At 37.1% G+C, this 20,836-nt stretch overlaps 1 annotated feature.

Annotated features, from left to right (window-relative positions):
• Positions 20,293-20,342: a silencer, noted in NCBI's record as "silent region_19808". NCBI's record gives its function as "represses an Ori minimal core promoter by ATAC-STARR-seq in GM12878 lymphoblastoid cells {active_cell/tissue: GM12878}" and the evidence as "EXISTENCE:reporter gene assay evidence [ECO:0000049][PMID:35858748]".

Raw genomic sequence — 20,836 nt, 5'->3', positions numbered from 1 at the left:
ATGCCATTTAAAATCTACGGAGATATTGTCTCTAGCACCCCCAGAAAGCTAAATTCCCTCTTATAACAGCCAGTCTCTTCAAACTAAACTTCCAACCCTTTTTTTTTCTTGCCATTGGCTTTGCTCTACTTGCTTGTAAGATGATTTTTCTTTTCAAAAAGTTGTTTCCTCTACTCTGGGCAGAAAATTAGAACCCAGGAGAATGTATTATAATCTGTCTCCTCCCAAGGCAAAGCCCTTTCTTTAAGCCACTATAACCTGAATAGTAATTTTTACTGGTATGGTTTCTGTTTCCAGGATCCTAACTAACACAGTGGTAAATACAAGATGGCTTCACAGGAGCCCCCAGATGCCATAAATTGAGAAGTTATTGTGCCCTGAGAGCAAGATAGACTTGGCATTAAACTAAAGGGATTTAATGAAATGAACAGAATGAACTACTAGATTCATTATCAGGTAAGAGGAAATAATAGAACAAGGAGCCAGTTATAGAATGAATATGGTAGAGTGAAATAGGAAAATAAATTCTTCAACATTGTGTAAGATCACCTAGCACATCCGGTCAGGGTGGAATAAAGTCCTTTTTAATAAGGCAAAACAAGCTGAAACCAAGCATTTTAGATTTGTTGTCTCATGCCAGCCAAATGCCCATTTCTACTTTACAGATGAGCAAATTGAGGCTGAGAGTCATTAAATCATTTGCACCAAAAACACGTATTTAGCAGTGGGCTAGCTGGAGCTTAAGCCTAAGTCTGTGTGGTTCAAAAGCTCAGACACTTCATTTTACAGGGATGACCCTCCAATTTAAGAATTTTAGGTTCTTAAGTAATCTGTGATTTTATTTTTAACCTAAACATTAAACAGAAGACAGAGGCTATTCTTGAGAATCTTAGAATCTCTTTAGGCTACGTGGCAAGGGACTACATGTTTCAGCCTCCCTTTTATCTAAATAGACCCATGTAACTACTCACTTCTATTAGTAGACCAAGGTCACTAAGAATTAGGTGTGCTTTCTTTACTGGTCCTCTTTCTTTTTCTTCGAACTAGATATTTGCATCCAGGATAACCCTGGAAGACACTTGTTGAAAACGCTGGAGTATGAGCTGATCAAACAGCAGCCCAGCTAAAGTCAATACTCTCAGCCTCACTTGAGATGGCGTGACCATACAGCTAACTTCTGGCCAGGGGTTGTTTTAACAAAAGATTAGAATAGTGTCACACTTCCTCAAGCCCTCCCATAAAGATATCTTGGCTAGATGGTGGAGCCCACTCACTGGCAAAAACCAGGTCTTCATATCCTAGCCCATTGTTTCAATGATCATAACATATTAAGTTGAGAAAAAGAGGGAGAATAAGAGAGGCCAGTGATTGCCAGAAATTTTGAAGCACAAAATTTGTGCTTCAGCTGCAACTAGGCCATATGCTCTTGACACAGCAGTGCCTCTTTTTTGTCTGTATGCTCTTGATCTCCCCTCAACACAGTGCTCTGCAGACTTCTCTCATGAATGAGATCACCCTTTAAAAAAACACATAGCCAGGTTCCACTGAGGCTTCCTTCCCCAGGCTTAGTGTTACAAATTAATATCTCCAATGTTGAAAGATTAGAGTTCCCACTCCCCCCAAAATCCTCTCATAAATAATCTCTTGTTCTCTATTCTATAGCCTTTTCAGCTCTTTTGTAGCCTCATGTGAGTAACGGAGTTTAAAAGCTGTGTCAATCGTTTACAGGCATAACAGGTCTATCTCTTAACTGCTAAAAATGAAATATAGCATCTATTATCTTGCTTTAACTGAAAGGGAACCAGGACAGATTCCATTTTAATACCTGTGCCCACAAATAACAGAAAGCCACAAGCTAGGGAAAGCAAACAAAGAAATAGGGAGTATTTCTTAAAAGGATATATGAATAAAAAGGAAGTGTCCTACTCCATATAGCAAAAATGATTTTGAAAAAGAACAAAGCTGGTGAACTCACATTTCCTAATTTTGAAACTTACTACAAAGCTATAGTAATCAAAACAATGTGATACTGGTGTAAAGATGGACACACATACCAATGAAATAGAACAGAGAACCCAGAAATAAACACTTGTGTATATGGCCAAATGATTTTTGACGAAGATGTCACAAGCCATTCAATGGGAAAGGTGAGTCCTTTCAACAAATAGTACTGTGCAAACAGGATGTCCACATAAAACAGATGAAGTTAGAAACTTAACAAACAGCATATGCAAAAATTAACTCAAAATGAACCAAAGACTTAAAACTATAAAACTCTTAAAAGAAAAAACATAAGGCAAAATCTTTGCAACACTGGATTTGGCAATGCTTGTTTGGGTAAGACACCAAAGGTACAGGCAACAAAATAAAGAAAAGAAATTGTACTGCATAAAAATTAAAAATTTTGACCATCAAAAGACAATGCCAACAGGATAAAAAAGCAACCCATGAAATGAGAGAAAATGTTTGCAAATCATATATCTGATAAGGGATAAGGGACTAATATCCATAATATTTAAAGAACTCCTAAAACTCAACAACTAAAAACAAAGAATGCAATTCAAAAATGGGCAAAGGACTTATATAGACATTTCTTCAAAGAAGATATAAAATGGCCAATAAGTACATGAAAAGATGCTCAATATCACTGATCATTAGGAAATGTAAATTAAAACTATAATGAGATACTTCACAATCATTAGGATGGCTACTATTTTTTAGAAAGAGAGAGAAAATAACCAGTGTCGGTGAGATGTGAAGAAATTAGAACCCTTGCACACTTCTTATGGGAACGTGAAATGGTCCAGCCACTGTGGAAAACAGTATGGTGGTTCCTCACAAAATTAAAAATATTAGCAATTCCACTTCTGGGTCAACCTAAAAGAATTGAAAACAAGGTCTCAAAAAGATATTTGCACATTTATGTTAATAATAGCATTATTCACAAAAGGTAAAATGTGGAAGCAATTCAAGTGATGAACAGATAAACAAAGTGTGATGTATGTATGTATGTATGCAACAATAGAATATTATTCAGCTTTAAAAAGGAAGGAAATTCTAATAAATAAACTGGAGCATATTATGCTAAGTGAAATAAGCCAATCACAAAAAGACAAACACTCTATGATTCCACCTATATGAAGTACTTAGCGTAGTCAGATTTATAGAGACAGAAAGTAGAATGGTGGTTGCTGGGGGCTGGGGGTAGGGAAAATGGGGAGCTATTGCTTAATGGGTATAGAGTTTCAGTTATATGAGACGACAACAATATAAAAATGGATGGTGGTGATGGATACACCACATTATGAATGTATTTTAATCCACTGAACTATGTACTTAAAAATGGGTAAGATGGTAAATTTTATGTGTATTTTACCACATACAAAACAAAATGGGGAGAAAAAGGGGCATCCTATAGCTTCCAAGGGCAGGAATACAGCCAGACTTTAGGAATAGAAAGGAACCTGGTGCTGAGAAGTCAGGAACCTGGAATACTTCTCTGGATTCTCAGTTGCTGGCTCCTGCTTTTCTCTGAATAACTGTTTTATTCTTTTCTATCGGCATATTTGCTTTTTCTATTATTAATTCCACATGGTTACAGGTGGATGTCTCAGGGCTCTACAGTTTTTTTATATTCCATATTAAAGGAATTATCTAGAGTAAATTAGAATTTTTAATCTCAATATCAAATTTCTAACCAATAGAATGTGATTGGCTTAGCTTAGATCAGGTGTCCAGTGAACTATAGATATGGGGCGAGGGATAAGACCTGACTCCCTGAAAACTATCCTGTGAGTGAAGGCTTGAAGGTAATGTGCCATTTTTAGCTGGCTAGACACCTCAAAGTACCACCTTCATATATGGCAACAGACTGTGAAAAATTGAGAGAGATAATCAGCATGCCTTGAAAGCCAATAGAATTTAAAGGACTTAGAGAAGAGCAGGAGGCAAAAATGCTGACGGTAAAGTCAGAATAACTTAACTCTGAGGAAAGCAAAGGCCACTGATGGAAAAGGGAACAAAAAGATAATACTTTTAGTGTGGATGTATTGAGTTTAAGATTCTGATGTCACATCTGAATAGCAGTTGGTAAAATGGGCTAGAATTCAGGACAGTATGAGAGTTGGAGATATTAATTGTTTTATTTATTTAAATAAATAATTAATTCTGAATACCTGCTTTTTGGCCGATGCCCTTTTAGGCTCTGGGAAAATAGCAATGAACAATGTGGACAGGTGGTCTTCACCCAGGTAGTTATGTCCCCCTTGGTTTTATTAATAGGCTTAAGAAACTCCATGAACCCCTTCGAATAATGAAAACTATATGTATATGCTTAAGTGTCTTTTTGAAGGAAGAAAGTCCCTGGATTTCCACAGAATCTCAAAAGGGTACATGACCTCAAAAAAGTGAAGAATTACAGATATAAAACTATATTTAGACACTAAAAATAAAATAGGAAGAATAGAAGCTGTTCATTGACAATGTCTTGATTAACACCAACATTGACAGTGTGGGAGAATGAAAATAAATTAGAAAAAAGGAGTCCACAACCAATCTAGAAAAATAATATTTTGAAACATTATCCAATGTGTTGTATTTCTCCTTCTTGCCAATTCCTTTTATATGTAGTTAACTGTAAACCCTGATGTGAAGACTTAATGTGTTCAGGAAACAAAGAATAAAAGGGAAGAAATCCACCATGAAAACAGTCAGATTATTCTGTTCAAGTTTCAAAGGAAGCTCTCAAAAGCTAGTGATAGAGACAACTTTGAATGAGAAAGCTTTTTCTTTTTCTTTCTTTTTTTTTTTTTAAGGCCTCCTTCCACCTCCTACCAAGGCTAAGGGTCTGGTAAACTCAGCATTTTCTTCTTTAAACTATGGAATTTGTGACGATTCATGATCATTCAAGAGAAGATTTGCACCATAGATAGAAGTATTTGCGGGGGGCTGAGGGAGAAATCTGGAGAGGAATAGAGAATAGCAATATGATTAGATGCTGATGTGAGTGCTGATCTCAAAGTAAAAACCTGGTTGGGAGACGGAGATAGCCAGATGGGTTTGGAGACTGAAAACCAAGGAGTTGTATGTTCTTTTTTCAAACTATGGAAAGAGATAGCATTCCCAAGGGTCTCCTGCCAACATGGAGTAGCCAGAGGAAAGAAGACATATTTTGCGGGCAGATATAGGCGGAGAGTGGGTTGAGATAGCCTCTTCACACTTTCTCCACCTACCTCCCAGCCCTCTTGAATTTTTTCCTTGAGATGTATGAGATCCAAAAATGTTTTGTGTGTCTAATAAAACATTAGAAATAGCTGAGAGTTGAGAGGTAGTCTTCCTGCAAGGGGTTACCACAAAAGATGATTGGTCAAAATGACCAGTTACTGAAGAATAAAATGAGGCCAGGAGAGCCTTTTGCAGAAACTACAGGGTGGCCAGCAAAAGCCGTGAATGCAAGGAGGATGTGACTAAGCCTGAAAGGATCACAGTGCCAGCCACCCTGAGGTAGGAGTGAGTCAGCAGAAGCAGGCCGCTGAGTTTCCAACAGCAATCATCTTGCACTTGCACAACAGGGAAACAGGAGTGTCATCAAAAGTAAATTCCAGCCGAGACATTCTCTCCTATATGAGAAGCAAAAGTAAGTCCCTCTGAGCTTTTGATCAGTCTGGGGAGAAGGAAATGAGAATGCATAAGGCAAAAATCAGATAAATGTGTTTTAATCTAGAATAGCCTCGGTGATCCTGATTTGATAAATTTAAGTATTTTACCAGTAGTGAGCATGGAAGTCACTAGGTTCATTTGGAATGAAATAATATTTCATCTTTGTTTAAGCTACATGGTGTGCAAAGATTACAGCTGCTACAATAGAAGTTAAATCAGGAAAGTCAGGTGTCAGAAACAGAAGAGGGGGTTTCAAGAAAGAGCACAGGTTAAACTCTAAAAAATCCTGAAAAGGTTAAACAAGAAGTTTTGCATCTTGGTGAGCGTTGAAGCCAGACTGCAAGTAAGAACTAAGTGAGTAGTGAACAGAGAAAGTGAATGTAGACTACTCTTTCAAAAAAGATTAACAATGAAAGAAAGGTGAACAATAGCAAAATTTCCTTAGTCTTAGTTTTCTTATCCATGAAGTAAAGGAAAATAATAATTATTAATGTAAAGTTGATATTAGAACTAATGTATACAGCGGGAATAGCAGAGTGTCTTACACATATCAGATGTCTTATAAATATTTGGTTCCGCCCTTTATTTCATCCTCTTTTCTTTTTCTTCTTCTGGGAATGGAACAAGTCAGCAACCTTCTTACAATACTTTCTCATGTGTTTGAGCATTGTTATTGTAAACTCTCAGCCTTATTTATTTGAATAAATAACATGTACTCAGAGAGACATGATATGATAGGGCTAATAGGAGTCTCAGGTCATATCATTATAACTTAAGAAAGTAGCGATTCAGGTGAGTGAAGTAAGGTCTCCACAATGACATGAATAGGTAGGAGAGCCAGAACTAGAGCAAAGATTATTGTTTTCAACTATACTGTTCTTCCATTTAGAGTTTGATCATTTTCTGAGTAGTCGTACTTACTTTATTAGTCCAGTCTTTAATTTGTTCTCACATTAGCATGATCTAGATCCCATGTATCTTATACATAATTTAAAGTATTAGATTTAATCAGAACTCAAGAGATACCAAACTATATCCCTGTCTTAAGTCATCCTTATATGCATGATATAGCAGTCTGTGACTTGGCATGATTAGATCTTAATTAAACATTGGTAACTACCTTACAAGTCAGTTCAATCTGGCATCAGTAAATTCCCTCAGGTGTGAAAGAAGAAATATCAAAGATGATTTTTAGTGCACACAGGGTATTTGGCACCACTAAAAATCAAGGCAAACTGGGAAATATGAAAAATATGTCTTTGCCTTATAGCTGCCCTGTGGGACTCCCCTACATTTTTCAAAATAAGATATTTGTAAATAGAGCAACTGGTGGAGCTAGAAATGATCAGCCTCCAGCTTCCAGTGAGATGTCAAATAACCTACTTCAGTCTATGCTTCAAGCTAAATACTACTCATCATTATCTCTAGGCACTGGGCCATTGAAGAGACCAATGCCTCATCTCTTATGAAAGAGGAAAATAGAGAGATTAGGCATGAGCATATCTAAAAATGAAGATAGGAGAAACCATGAAAGATCACACTCTACTTCTTTTTTCATTCTAACAAATATTCATAATTCTTATGACTTAAGATTGCTCTGTCTTCTTAGAAATTTGGAATTTCCCCTCCATTAACTATGGTCACCTCCTATATTGACCTGTAGCTAGCAGCAATAAATATTTGTAGGAAGCATGAGTTTTCTGTTTTCTATTCTGCTGGTTATTCTCTTTCAGCTTTTTCTCCTGTCTGTTCGCTACCTGTCTCTGCTCTACTCTTTGTCTCTGAAAATTGATTCTTGCAAGCTGCACCCCACAGGCTCCCTTCTAGGCTGTTTTATAGTTGTAATTAGGCTGGTTTATAGTTGGGTTTAGCCAGTGGGAGGTACCGGCAATATATTGGAGGGAAAGGAGAGAGATAAGGGTATTTCTTCCCTACTGGCTGTCTGCTTTGGTGCTGTGATGTCGGTGCTCCTGCCACAGGAGTGCTGTGATGGACATTCGTCACTTAACTCTCTTCCCTTAGAACTATTTTCCACTTTTCTTGGCCCTGCATGGGGCCCAGAAGACTGACCTCTGTGGATTGTATCACTCTCATGCCCTTTGGCTTCCACTCGGGTTCAGCCAATGGGAGATACCAGGAGGAGACCAAGGAGAGGGTGTTTTCTGTTGTCTCACCTTGACGCTGTGTTTCCAGTTCCTTTCCTCCGTTGATTACAGATTCAGTCAAACAGCCCCTCCTCCATGGCTTCCGTTCTCATTAAGTTCCAGTGTTACCATAGGCCTAGTGATGGAATGGTTTCCCAGTGTTGCTTGTTGGATTCCTTAACTATGTCTATTTCTGTATAAACGATCCTTTCTTTAAAATCACTTCGCTTGAAACATCTGAGAGGAATTCTATTTTCTCCTGGGATCCTGATTGACACATCTGAAAATGGAAAGCATGACCAAAGTCCAAATTCTATACCCCGTTTCCCAAAATATTTGAAAGAAGAGACCCTCAAATGGAAGAATGAAGGGCAGCATCTGGAAAAATTGGGATGGTAATTCCTGGAACAGGGAGATGAGCTTGAAATAAGAACGTGATGAGCTTGAGCCAATAAACTGACTAGGACCAACAATTGTCTCTCAGGATATTACACTGCAGTTCTGGCCATACTTGTCAGCTTCTTTTGGTTCCTGGAATCCAAAGACTTACTGGGTTCTTGGACCATGTCATTTCTGCATCCTGTAACAAAACTCACTCTCTTCCATCCTCCCTGTGGCTATCTCATTCTCAACCTCAGGCCTGGGCTTTGATATTACCATCTCAGTGAGGATCTTCTGACCATGCTCTCTCAGGTTAATATCCTTTCATTATCCTATATATCAGTTCACTGTTTGAGTCCTTTATAAGATTTTTAATAGTGTTTAATTATTTTATGCATTTTTCTTTTCTGTCAATTGTCCCCACTAGACAATTGTATGTATGTCCCCACTAGAATGTATGTTTCATGAGGATAGGGACTATGACTTGTTCAACTTTATATCCCCAGAGCCTAAAATAGAGCCTGGAACATGAAAAATAATATTTGTTGATTAAGTGAAATAATGAAAGAATTGGAGAGAAAGAGGTGGCATGCATACTATATTTTTCCCTTTACCCCAACTAATTGCAGGCTTCTTAGGCCACTACAAATATCACTATGCCCCCCTAAAAACTCATTCTGTAAATACAGAAAATAATAGGTGGAAATACCTGAGCTAAGGACCTGACTAGAAGAATGTTTTGGGTGTAGTGAGAAAAATATAGGCTTTGGAACTAATAGCCACATATTAAATCCTGAATCCCTTAGTCAGTAGCTCTTTAGCCTTGGCCAAGTCATTTATTAATTCTGAGCCTTAGTTTCTTCATCCATAAATGGAGATAATAATTTTTACTTATGCAATTGATGGGCAAGTACTTGGCAACAATGTGCACTCTGTAGATGCTACTGCAATGGCAATACAATTACTCTTAAATAAAATTTTTGTTGTCAACATTTTCATTGATCAACGATCTTGTTTATCTCATCCATTGTTGTATTTATGGTGTATATAATATTGCCTGACACTTTCAGATGCTCAATAGGTATTTGTTGAATGAATATCTGTGCTTTAAGGTAATAAATTAATGACATGTATTCAGACATTCATGTATTCTGACATTTTGGTAAGCACTTTATATGCATCATATCATTTTACATCTGCATGAAGTAGATACTATTCTTTTTTTTCCATTTTACAACTAAAAGAGCCAAATGTTAGAAAAAGGAATTACTAAGTAAATAATCTAAATGCCTTCTCCTGCCATCCCATCAACTCCAACGCCTTATGAGGAAGACAGGTATTAGCAGCTTGGCACACTCTTTCTAGAAAGTTTCCAAACCATAACTTTAGTGTTTTTAGGTAGGATGATAACTTACTTCACGGATTTTCCCAGGTTCTAAATCTAATCTCTCATATTACAGTTCCAAGGCCATTCAGTGCATTTGTGCACTTTCATTCCAAACCTGCATGTTATAATACATAAAAACTTTGAACAATAATGTAGCCACTAAAAGACTACCTCTGCAGGGTAAATAAGTTATTAATTTTACTTAGAATACATTAAAAATATATTAAAGTAAGATATCTATGATTCGGAAATTTGGTGGCTCAGCTAAATCTCTGATGTACAACTAGTGTAATTAAAAAGGATGGGACTTAGATAGAACTGAATTTGTAGTCTGGCTTTACCACACACTAAACAAGTAATCTTGTCCAAGTTAGTTAGACTCTCTGAGGCCCAGTTTCTGATCTGTAAAATAGAGTTAATAATGCCAATGTCACTCAGTGTCTATAGGTATTAAATGGATAATCCACATAAAAGCAATTTGCAAAGTCAAGCACATGGTCAAGCAAATGGTGAAGTGTTCTACATAAATGCTCAATTTTCTTCCCTTTCATTATTTTATAATTGTCTTACCAATCAAGTAAATATTGTATATTCAATATTTTTAATCCATTTTTTCACTTGGTCTTCAAGGTCAAGGTAAAACACTTTAACAGTTTTGGAAACAGTTCTACTGCTACTATTGTTACTGTGTATTTTTCTCAATAAACTACAAAACTTAGGCTTCAGAATTTCACACCATGTTTTTTTAAACAGGGAATTTACTAAAATATAAACATGGAATAATTAGAATATGTGATTTTTGTCTTTTGGCATATTATGTGTGGATAAAACTCCTTGGATCTGCTAAAATCATCCCAGAATTTTGGAGTTTTTTGTTTTTGTTTTTGTTTTTTCCCAAGGCCAGAGATAGAAGATTGCATTTTCTAAAACCAACACATAATGCTTCAGATCAGGGCAAACTCTGATACTTTATGTTCAGGATCTTCTGCCAGAAGGTGTTTCCTTTGTTGATTCATCAATTATGCACAGTGCTCTGTGTAAGGCACTGTGTAGAGTCCAGACCATGCCCTCTGGAACCAGACCGTCCCCTGGACGAGAGAGAAAGCATATATTTTACTAGCCACGATACAAGGTAAACTTTGGTAAGTACCACAGGGATGATGAGGTAAAGTATTAGGGAATTTCAAAGGAAGGAGAAATGTCTCCCACTGGTGGAAGACTTTGAAGGGCTTTTTAAGTTTAGTGAATGGTAAAGGAAGAACATAAAAGATACTGCCATTAGATCAGGCACTGAGAAAGCATTGGTGATCCAGATCCTGAATCATGAGAAAAGAGAATTTGGGTGACAGCAGTACTTCCATCTTGGGAGCCCCAGAAGCTCCAAGGACGCTGTTAATTATAGGCCAGTAGAGGAGAACACTTCTGTTCACTTGATCCATCCTCAGTTACGGTGAGTCAGATTGCATTGTAGCCATTTATTTTTCTGGCTTCATGAGGAGCTGATGAACTCCTGGAGGGCAGAGACCTTGTCTTTCCTTTTCTAGCATGTAGCCAGGCTCCAGCAAATTACAGACACTCAACATGTGACTGTGTTGTGAAATGCAAGACCTATCAAAACAGAGAAACCAGGCAGGAAGAATGGGTTTCAGTGATGCCAGTATAGTTTAAATCCCTCACAGACAGAAGTTTTGGGGTCTGTCGAGGACAGTGCATTCAGGTCATGCAGGCATGAGGCTGGGTCTGAGCTGCTTCCAGAATAGGCCAGGGTTGGCTGGGCTACAGTGGCACACTGAGCCCAGGGAAGGTAGACTTATGCATTAGTCAGCCTTGCTCAGTCAATAAGGCTGGGTTTTTCTTTATTAGCCTCTGGCTTGAAGTTGGTGGTGGTGACATGAGACTTGAACACAGACATGTAGATGTAAGGATGCTTAAATAAGAAAAAACAACAATAGCAACAACAAAAACCCAACAATGTTGGAGTAAAAACTTGACTCAAAAGTCAAAGCTTAGAGAATACTTTCATTTTACTCTTAAATGTTTTTGGATGCATAGTATTCTAAAGGGGTAAGTTACAGATAAATCTGGAAAAAATAATGTAGAAGAGTAATTTTCAGAAAGTCTTGGCTCCTCTCTGTCTCCTCAAAGGCAAGACATGGACAAACGAAACCACTAGCCACCTGACTGGTTGCTGTAAGGATCCAGAGTCATGAAAAATTTCTGATGTTGGGGAAAATGCCATCTTCACACAGCTCCTCCTTTTGACTCTAAATTAATTTTTAGGCACTATTAGTTGGCCTGATGCACAATGTTTTCCAAAATACAAGAAGGGAGTTCATAGAAGAGACTAATATAGACAATGGTATATTCAAGGGCACTTAACTTCAATTGGTCAAGTTAAGTGTCTCTCGAATTATGCTTCTTGGACTGCCCATGTCAGAATCATCCAGCAAGTGGGTTAAAATGCAGATTTATCAGCTCCATTCAAGACTTAATCAATCAGAATCTCTGAGAAAAGAGTTCCAGAAATCTGCATCTTAAAACACACTTGTCACCCATTCAAGTGATTCTGTTGTATACTAAAATGTATGAATCACTGCTACATTCTGCAGCCTTTATGAACTAAAGAGTTCCTCTCATTGTGTTTGAAGATTAAGTTACTAAGCCTATGTGTTCTAAGGTCTCTTTTCCCTATCAGCCCAGAGCATGGAGCTGGAGGAAGTGGAAGCAAGGCTGAAGTAGACAAAGTAGGTATGGAAGGTCCTTGCATAAAGAGGGGCTGGAGTTCTAAATACAAGGAAGCCGAATACAACGGTTGGAACAAACTGGAAATCATTATGTTGGCAGACAGACAAGGCAGACAAAAAGCGGAGGACTCAAAAAAAGCAGACAAAAAGTGAAGGATTGCCAAATAGCTAATCAATGTATGTGGTTAAAACTTCATGTTAAAAACTAGAACATTGGGCATGGTGGCATGCATCTGTAGTTCCTGCTACTCTGGAGGTTGAGGCAGGGGGATCTGTGGAGCCAAGAGTTGGAGACAGCCTTGGCAACATAGCAAGACCCTGTCTAAAAAAAAAAAAAAATTAAATAAGGAACAAAGTCCACACCAGGCAGATCAGGAAAATGGAAGATCAGATCTGGGATGGCTACAACATAGAGAATCCAACTATATAAAGCTAAGTTTGTCCTCAGCCAACAGTCTTTAATTTTTTTTTTCTAAATAACAGGATCTATGGACCTAAATTGGGCTAGACTGAGACTTGAAGACAATTAGGAGAGGAGTGAAGTAGAAAATTAAAATACGTAGTACTACCCAGCCATTATTTCCTTCCTAAGAAACAGTATACAGTTTAAGTTCCTCAGCACTGTAGGACTTGTTTAAATAAAAACAACAGTTAATATTCATTGAATCCCTCTATGTACTAGGTACAGTTTTAAGCATCTTGCATGTATTCACTCATTTAATCCTCATAACAATCCTATGAAATAGGTACTATTGATATTGCTGTCCTTCAGATGAGAAAACAAGTAAAGAGAGGTTAAGCAACTTGCTCAAGGCCAGGTGGCCCCAAGTGCAGAGTCAGGATTTGAACTCAGGCAGTCTAAATTCAGGGTCTGAATTCTTAACCACTATTTTATACTGTCTGCTGCAGCATAAGTATGTCTATGGATTTTATACAGAAATCAACTCTCAGTTGTTGGATTTTATACAGAAATCAACTCTCACTTGCAATGAACTATTAAGGCTCAATCATTGTTGATGCTGTTATTTAATACAATTAGGAAGGCAATTTAGATGTTCTCTGTACAGCATTGCCTACTGTTTATGTTTAAAATGTACTCAATCCAATGTCTTATGTATAAATGCTAACATCTGAAATCACAAATATCTGATCTGTGATGTGATGTGGTTTCAAAGAAAACAATGCCAACGTAATTTTCATGGTAGGAAGGCAACCAAAGAAACTCCAGGAATCCGAGTGTGTCTGTGTGTGTGTGTGTGCAATTGATTATTTTGTTCTGCATGCATTCTTTTTTTCTTTATTCAGTGTTGGCTCAGATTTTGTGGACTTGTTCAAACATTTATTTTGAAATGTACCAGTGCACGTACACAGAAGAAGCTACACTTTTTATCTTACATCTCTAGAGTTTGTCTTCTTGCTTGAGGCTCCATGGCACACCATAGCTTAAGGGAAGGGAGAAACTTAAAGAAAGAAAACCCAGGTTGAATAAGAAAGCCTTATGATTATAAAACAAAGTGGAGTTATTTTCAAAGTGAATAAGAAATAAATGAAACAGAATAACATTTCCTAATGGTTTTGTCATGTTTTTATGACACTCACAGTTTTATTTACATTTGTAGATTGCTTTCTCTTTTTAAAATCCAGAATCAAGGATGTCTCTGGTAAGGACTAACCTTTCAAACTGCACTGACAATTGTTGGTGACTGCTTTATAGTTACCCCTAATTAAACACTGTTATCTCTCTCCATCATGCACATTTGAAATCCTTTTTAAGATAGCAGCAACTGAAAACACACATAACACACACACACCACCCCACATTAGAAGTGTGAACAACAGAAACAGAAACATAGACAAGGTTGCAGAGAGCAAATGTGAACTTTCCCTCCAGCATCTAGAGAATAAAGGCCAAGCCAGAAGGTTTTTAAGTTTATATGAACACATTTGATTTTGCATTCTCATCTGAGAAACTTTAGATTACTGGTTTGGGAGATGTCACTATGTGTCCAGTTGGAAATGTAGTCCAATGCATGGCAAATATAAATTAATGTATGTGAAAATATAAACTAGTGACAGCAAAAAGATGTACAAAACACATGTGTTCTAGTATAATTCTATCACAGGGAGATTCTGCTTTTGTTTCATTTTCTGTTTTTATGCTTTCTAATAAGTTGTTAAAATTTTCAAATAAAGTAATAAAATGCATTCCTGGCTTATTTGGTGAACTATAGGAAGTATAATAACATGATAAGAAAGAACTAAAATTTAATTCATTAGCTCAAAGTTATTCTTAGATACCTCTTATAACCCTCCAGTAAGCAAAACAAAACAAAACAAAAATACAAAAAGCAATCCTCTGAACATTATGAAAATTTTCCCTGGGCCCAGGTGCAGTGGCTCATGCCTGAATGGAAACACTTTGTCAGGGGGTGAGAGGGGAGGATAGCTTGAGGCCAGGAGTTCAAGACCATCCTGGGCAACATAGGGACACCTTGTCTCTACAAAAAATTAGCCACGCATGGAGGTGAGCACCTATGGTCCCAGCTACTCGGGAGGCTGAGGTGGGAGGATTGCTTGAGCCTGGGAGGTCAAGGCTACATTGAGCCTTGATGGCACCACTGCGTTCCAGTCTGGGTGACAGAGCGAGATGCTGTTTTAAAAAAAATCCCTATAGTGATATAAGGTAAATAAAGTGAATGCTTTCAGTTTTTAAAATTTAGTTTCTCCAACATTTTTTGACTTTTCTATTTGTCACTTTATTTTTACTCTTTTTTCTTAAAAATACCTGCCATGCAGGGTGAAACCCCGTCTCTACTAAAAATACAAAAAATTAGCCGGGCATGGTGGCGGGCGCCTGTAGTCCCAGCTACTCGGGAGGCCGAGGCAGGAGAATGGCGTGAACCAGGGAGGCGTAGCTTGCAGTGAGCCAAGATCGCGCCACTGCATTCCAGCCTGGGCGACAGAGCGAGACTCCCTCTCAAAAAAAAAAAAAAAAAAAAAAAAAAAAAAAAAAAAAAAAAAAAAATACCTGCCATGGTCATAAATTGTAAATCATCAGGGAGAGAAGATGTGAATTAAAGGCAGTAATAGTTGGTAATATTTTTGATACTTTTCAGAATAAGCTGAAAACTGAGGGAACAAAAGGAGAAAGGTAAAAAATAAAAGGTATTTAATAAACTGTAACAAGCAAGATATTTACGTCAATCAAATTACAGCTACACTTTAGGACAGCTTCAAATTTCATAACACTCCTCTAGATCATTTCCAGTGGCTTTTTCCCCCCACACCAGGTAACTGAGCAGAATTCTGATTGTACCAAGCACTTCTATGTACACATTGTAAGGTTGAAACAAGGGTATGATCCGCCAGATACGTGCGCATGTTGGGAGGCACGTGAGTGATTGGAAAGGGTGGGAGCAGAAAATTATGATTCCTGTCCCAATGCACAATCTCAGGAGTGGTTATTGCCTTAAAGACTTAATCAGTATCGTTCATGATATCCTTTTTTTTTTTTTTTTTTTTTTTTTTTTTTTTGAGACGATGTCTCGCTCTTGTCCCCCAGGCTGGAGTGCAAATAGCGCGAACTCGGCTCACTGCAACCTCCGCCTCCCGGGTTCAAGTGATTCTCCTGCCTCAGCCTCCCGAGTAGCTGGGATTACAGGCGCCTGCTACCATGCCCGACTAATTTTTGTATTTTTAGTAGAGACGGGGTGTCACCATGTTGGCCAGGCTGGTCTCGAACTCCTGATCTCAGATGATCCACCCGCCTTGGCCTCCCAAAGTGCTGGGATTACAGGCACGAGCCACCGCACCCGGCCCGTTCATGAGATTCTTTGTGCAAGTGTTTACTTTGGCTTTTACTTGTAAAACAACAATGATCCAGCAATAAAATACCTTACGTTGCCTATGCTCAGAAGAAGCCAGGACAAGATTTCTGTCACTCTCTAGGTTTCGTTTTTAAACTTCCTACAACCCTGTCTTGAGAGAAAATTAATTTACTGGGGCAGTGATAGGGGACATTCCAAAAGATTCAGAAAATATACAAATATACACATTGATTAAAAGACATCTATATTACCCTAAGATTTCTTTTTGCTTTTCTTCATTTTTGTTTCAATTTTGTCTCTTCTTTTCTTTCTTCTCTTCCTTTATTTTCTTTTCTGTACTTTTCTTTTTCTCTCTTTTTAATTTTTGTATTCTCTTTGATCTTCTAGATATGAAAGACTTGTAAACTGGAAAGGTGGCTTTTACCAATGATTGTCCACCCATTCAGACATGCCAAATAGCTTGCAGAAAGTTATGTACACAACCAGGTTAGAAAAGAGGGGAACCTGACAAGGTAAACCATGCTGGTAAGAAAAGTGAACTGGTATTCCATAGTTCACTTAAGATGTAGTTTTTAATTGAATAGTGGTACCATAATTTGGAAACTCCAAACACTCACCCGATGTTTAAGTGGTTGGTTTCTTTAGGAATAAAGAGCCTCCAATGGAAATAATTTAATGTGCCTGAGTCAGGTCGGCTTTTGGAAATAATTAACAAAAACAATCTAAAATCTGACCTGGAGGGTCCCGAAGAAAGATTAGTCATGCACAAATTGAGATAAGTAAGAACTACCTGTTTCTCTTGCAAGTACTCTTCAAATTGGGATTTTTGTCTAGTTTATGAAAATAATTACCTTTTTAAAAAAGACTCAGCTCCATTTTTGGCAACTGACATTTTGTAGATCACAAAATATAAATTCATGTTCTACCAAGTAAAACAAATCAAGTAAGTGAGAGATAATTTTCTCTTTTGCCACTTTTCTCCAAAATCAAATTTCTCAGTTCTGCAAAGCTTTAAAATTACACATTTTAAAAATAAAATACAACTGTACAAGAAAAAATGTGAATTATAAGAGCATTAAAGCAAATTTATAAAGGTTCATTTTACTTAGTATTAGAAACAGTTTTGCTTCAAGAAACTGGGATATTTTGCAGAGTTAAGTGGTCAGTAATCTGCCTAGTTTGAGAAAGCTGAATTAGCAATTCCTTCAGGAACAAATGGCTTACTCTTGTTATTTGAATGTTCTTTTTTGAAATATTTCATCAGCATCATACATACACCATTTCTTCATCATTTAATGATACCATGGTGTGTTTTAAGAACCCTTGTATCTATACTTTGTTGGCTCAGTAAATACGTTATTTTCTCTGAATCTACTGGATCATTACATAGCACATTTGTAGAGTTTATTTCACCCATACCTCAGTGCTAAATGTGATTATTCCTTGTTTCCAGGGAAATTTAGTATTGGAGAAGCACAGCAGGCGAAGCTAAACCTAGTGGTAAAATTAGATGGACACATAATTCTGAGTGTTTACTCAAAGGGTTCCAGTACTGCTTTATCAATGCAGGAAGAAAGATTTAATCTTCTCTGTATGATCAGCGTCTTTCACAATACCAGCCATACGTTTGATTCTTGAGAATGTTTGTTGGATAAACGAATAATATAAAAATTCAGTCATTATATGTTTTTTTCCATTCAGATATCAGTCTGGCATGCTACTGAGGTTAACACCAGTGTAGGGTGCTTGCATTCTGGTGAACACATGTTATTTCTCAGGAACCACAGAGTCTTTCGTGGCCTGACACAGGAGGTTGAGGTGGAGTAGAGTCTGGCATTAGGTGTCTTCTGTGTGCCAGTACCAGCTCAGTACTTTACCTTTGCTTTGTGATTAGCTGGACAAAAGCACTTCAAGGAGAGCATGATTATTCCCACTTTACAGATGGTTCAGGACTGTTTGGTCCCAAAGTCCTTGCTAAGGAGAATTTGTTTAAGAATAGAATTTAAACAAACGTTATAACAAGTTAACATTATTTGGCAGTGGCTGAGAAGTTATCAAGCACCAGAGAAGAAAGAATTATGTGAATCTTATTAATTTCCTCTCCAGACTCCATTTAACAAAATGCACACACACACACACACACACACACACACACACACATACACACATGCACAATATTAAAACAAGTCTTGGAATTCAGCCTTTGCAGGCCCCAACTCATACCTCCAATTACATTTATAAGCCCTTTTTATTACAGAAAATGCATTTAAGAGGAATTATGTAAGATTTATTTAAGGCGAAACCCATGAAAACTTTTTTTCTTTTCTACTTTTGTTTTCAAGCTCAGGTCAAACTGAAAGAGAAAGTAAATCAGGCAAAGAAACCTCTTTATTTTTCATTACAGTAGCACTCAAATGGTATATGTAAAATAAGCTAAATTTTTAAGGCTTCTTTGTAATTTTTAAAAATCACAAACAATATTAAAATTCCAAGTAGATTGGGATGCATACTCACTTATAAGAGTTATGACAAAATGAGGATTAAAATATTTATATACAAAAGGATTACACAAATTTAGAAGAAAATCAGTAAGACCATCCTGCATAAGAAAGATGAGAACTGACAGTTAACAATAAAGAAAGATAAATGGCTTAATAAACATTGTAAAATCTTTAACATCACTAACAATTAAAAACAAAAGTGAAGACAATAATGCAGTTATATTTTCTCCAATTAAGCAGCAAGGTTAATTTTTTATTTTTATTTTTTTAATGCACAATACAGGTAGAAGTGTAAATTAGCCAACAAGTTTTGTAAAGCAGTGTATAAATATGTATCAAAGAAGCTTTAAATATGTTTCTAGAGTGCTAATCTAAGGAAATACTCTGAAATGCAAGTAAATATTTAAATATAAAGGTATTCTTTGAAAATATTCTTTTATAAAGTAAAAAACCAGGAAATTCAATGTCCTCAAATAAGAAGCACATATGAAAACCATTTAATATGCTGGAAAATAAATTCTTGTGACCTAATAATAATAGTTATAAAACAGGCTATATAAAACTACATGACAGTATGATTTCAACCATGGAAAATGATACTTAGTGAAAGATGTCAATAGCAGTGATAACAATGGTTATCTATGCTTATTTCAATTATTTTTACTTGCTTCACTTTGTTTTTCTGTATTTTCCAAGTTTGCTGTCATCATTAGAAAAAAATTATAGAAGAAAAGAGAAAAACCAGAACAAAAGCAAAACTCTCATCATATAGGCTCAATTAGATGCAGAAAGAGAAGAGAAACTTAATGCTGGGCATCTCAAGTTGACGTGAGTTTCCTTTGTGGTCCAGCTTCTGTATAGCATATCTAGCATCAAAAATCCAACCCAAACCAGGTATTGATTTTAGTCGACCACCAGATCTATCTGATACAAAACAGAATGACAAAGTGACCATCCAAGTAAATACATCATTAGGATGCATCAATCTAATGTCCAGAACAAAGGAGGTGATGGCTCAGCCTACTGTGGACTCACCAGCCCCTGTCTGGATGGTATGGTTAGCGCTGTGCACCTGAAACAGAATGGTGAATAACTACAGTCTGTCCAGAAGAGGGTAGCCATAATGGCAAAATGTCTTGAAACCCTATGACATTGCTGCTTAAAACTCCTCCCTGTTTTTTTATTATTTTTGGAAAAATGTCCCTAAGTCTACAAAACCCAGCTTCATCTGGGAAGACCCTCCCTGACTCAAAAGTCTATTCATGCAGTTTTTGTTTCAATTCCTTCTATAGATCAAGTTACTCCTCACTTCAAAACTTAGAATCCCCTGGCTCGTACTTTGAATTATTTTTTGAATGAAGGAATGAATTCTGTAAAGCCTGTCTGTATATTTTTATGATCACCCTCCCCTTCTACATCTTAATTTCTACATAATGTTTAGAAAATGAGATTCTAAATCTGAAAAAGAGAAAACAGGTGGGAGAGGAGGGGATATGATTCCTTCTGTTTAACTCCATTAACTAGAATTAAGATTAATTACAGTTCTAAAACCATAAGGAAGAACGTTCTAAAAACTACATTTAAAAACTAGTATTGGTGCAAGGAACTCCCCTGTATGAAGTGTGTGCAAGTCATATTTGAGCATAAGCATGGGTTGGAGTTATCATAAAGGGGATTTTTCTGTCAGGTAGCTGAGTTTCATTACTCTCAAGAAATTACTTCAAAGTACGTGATTCTGTGACTTAGCAATCTCTTTGGCTATAGAGGCACTACATAAGGAAGAGAAGATTTAAGATGACAGGAGGCATAGAGCTAAACAAAGAAAAGCTTGGGGAAAAAAAGGAAATGTAACACTGTCTCAAAACATTTGATCTCATCATTTCGAGCCTTCTCTGAGGCTAGGGTTGGCAGGCCTCCCAGAGAAACCAAAACAAAGCAACGTAACAGGGCACCACAAAACAAAAGGGGACCTAAGCTGGGCAATGAGAAGATGAAAGCACTGTGTCCAGATTCACTGAAGAGAGAGACGAGATATGAAAGGCAGCCTTTCTCTTTAGGGTCCTTTTCAATTCACTTAAAAGCACACCTTTGAAATGAATGTCCTCAGCAGAGAGAGGGCCGTTCCCTGAATCCAGAAGTTGAGGCGTTAATTACCATGGCTAAAGGAATGTGTTGAAATGTCAGTGCAACTGCT

This window comes from Homo sapiens, chromosome 9 (assembly GCF_000001405.40).
Source record: "Homo sapiens chromosome 9, GRCh38.p14 Primary Assembly".
NCBI lineage: Eukaryota > Metazoa > Chordata > Mammalia > Primates > Hominidae > Homo > Homo sapiens.
Note: the sequence above shows the minus strand (reverse complement) of the source record. Positions and strands in the feature narration are given on the sequence as shown.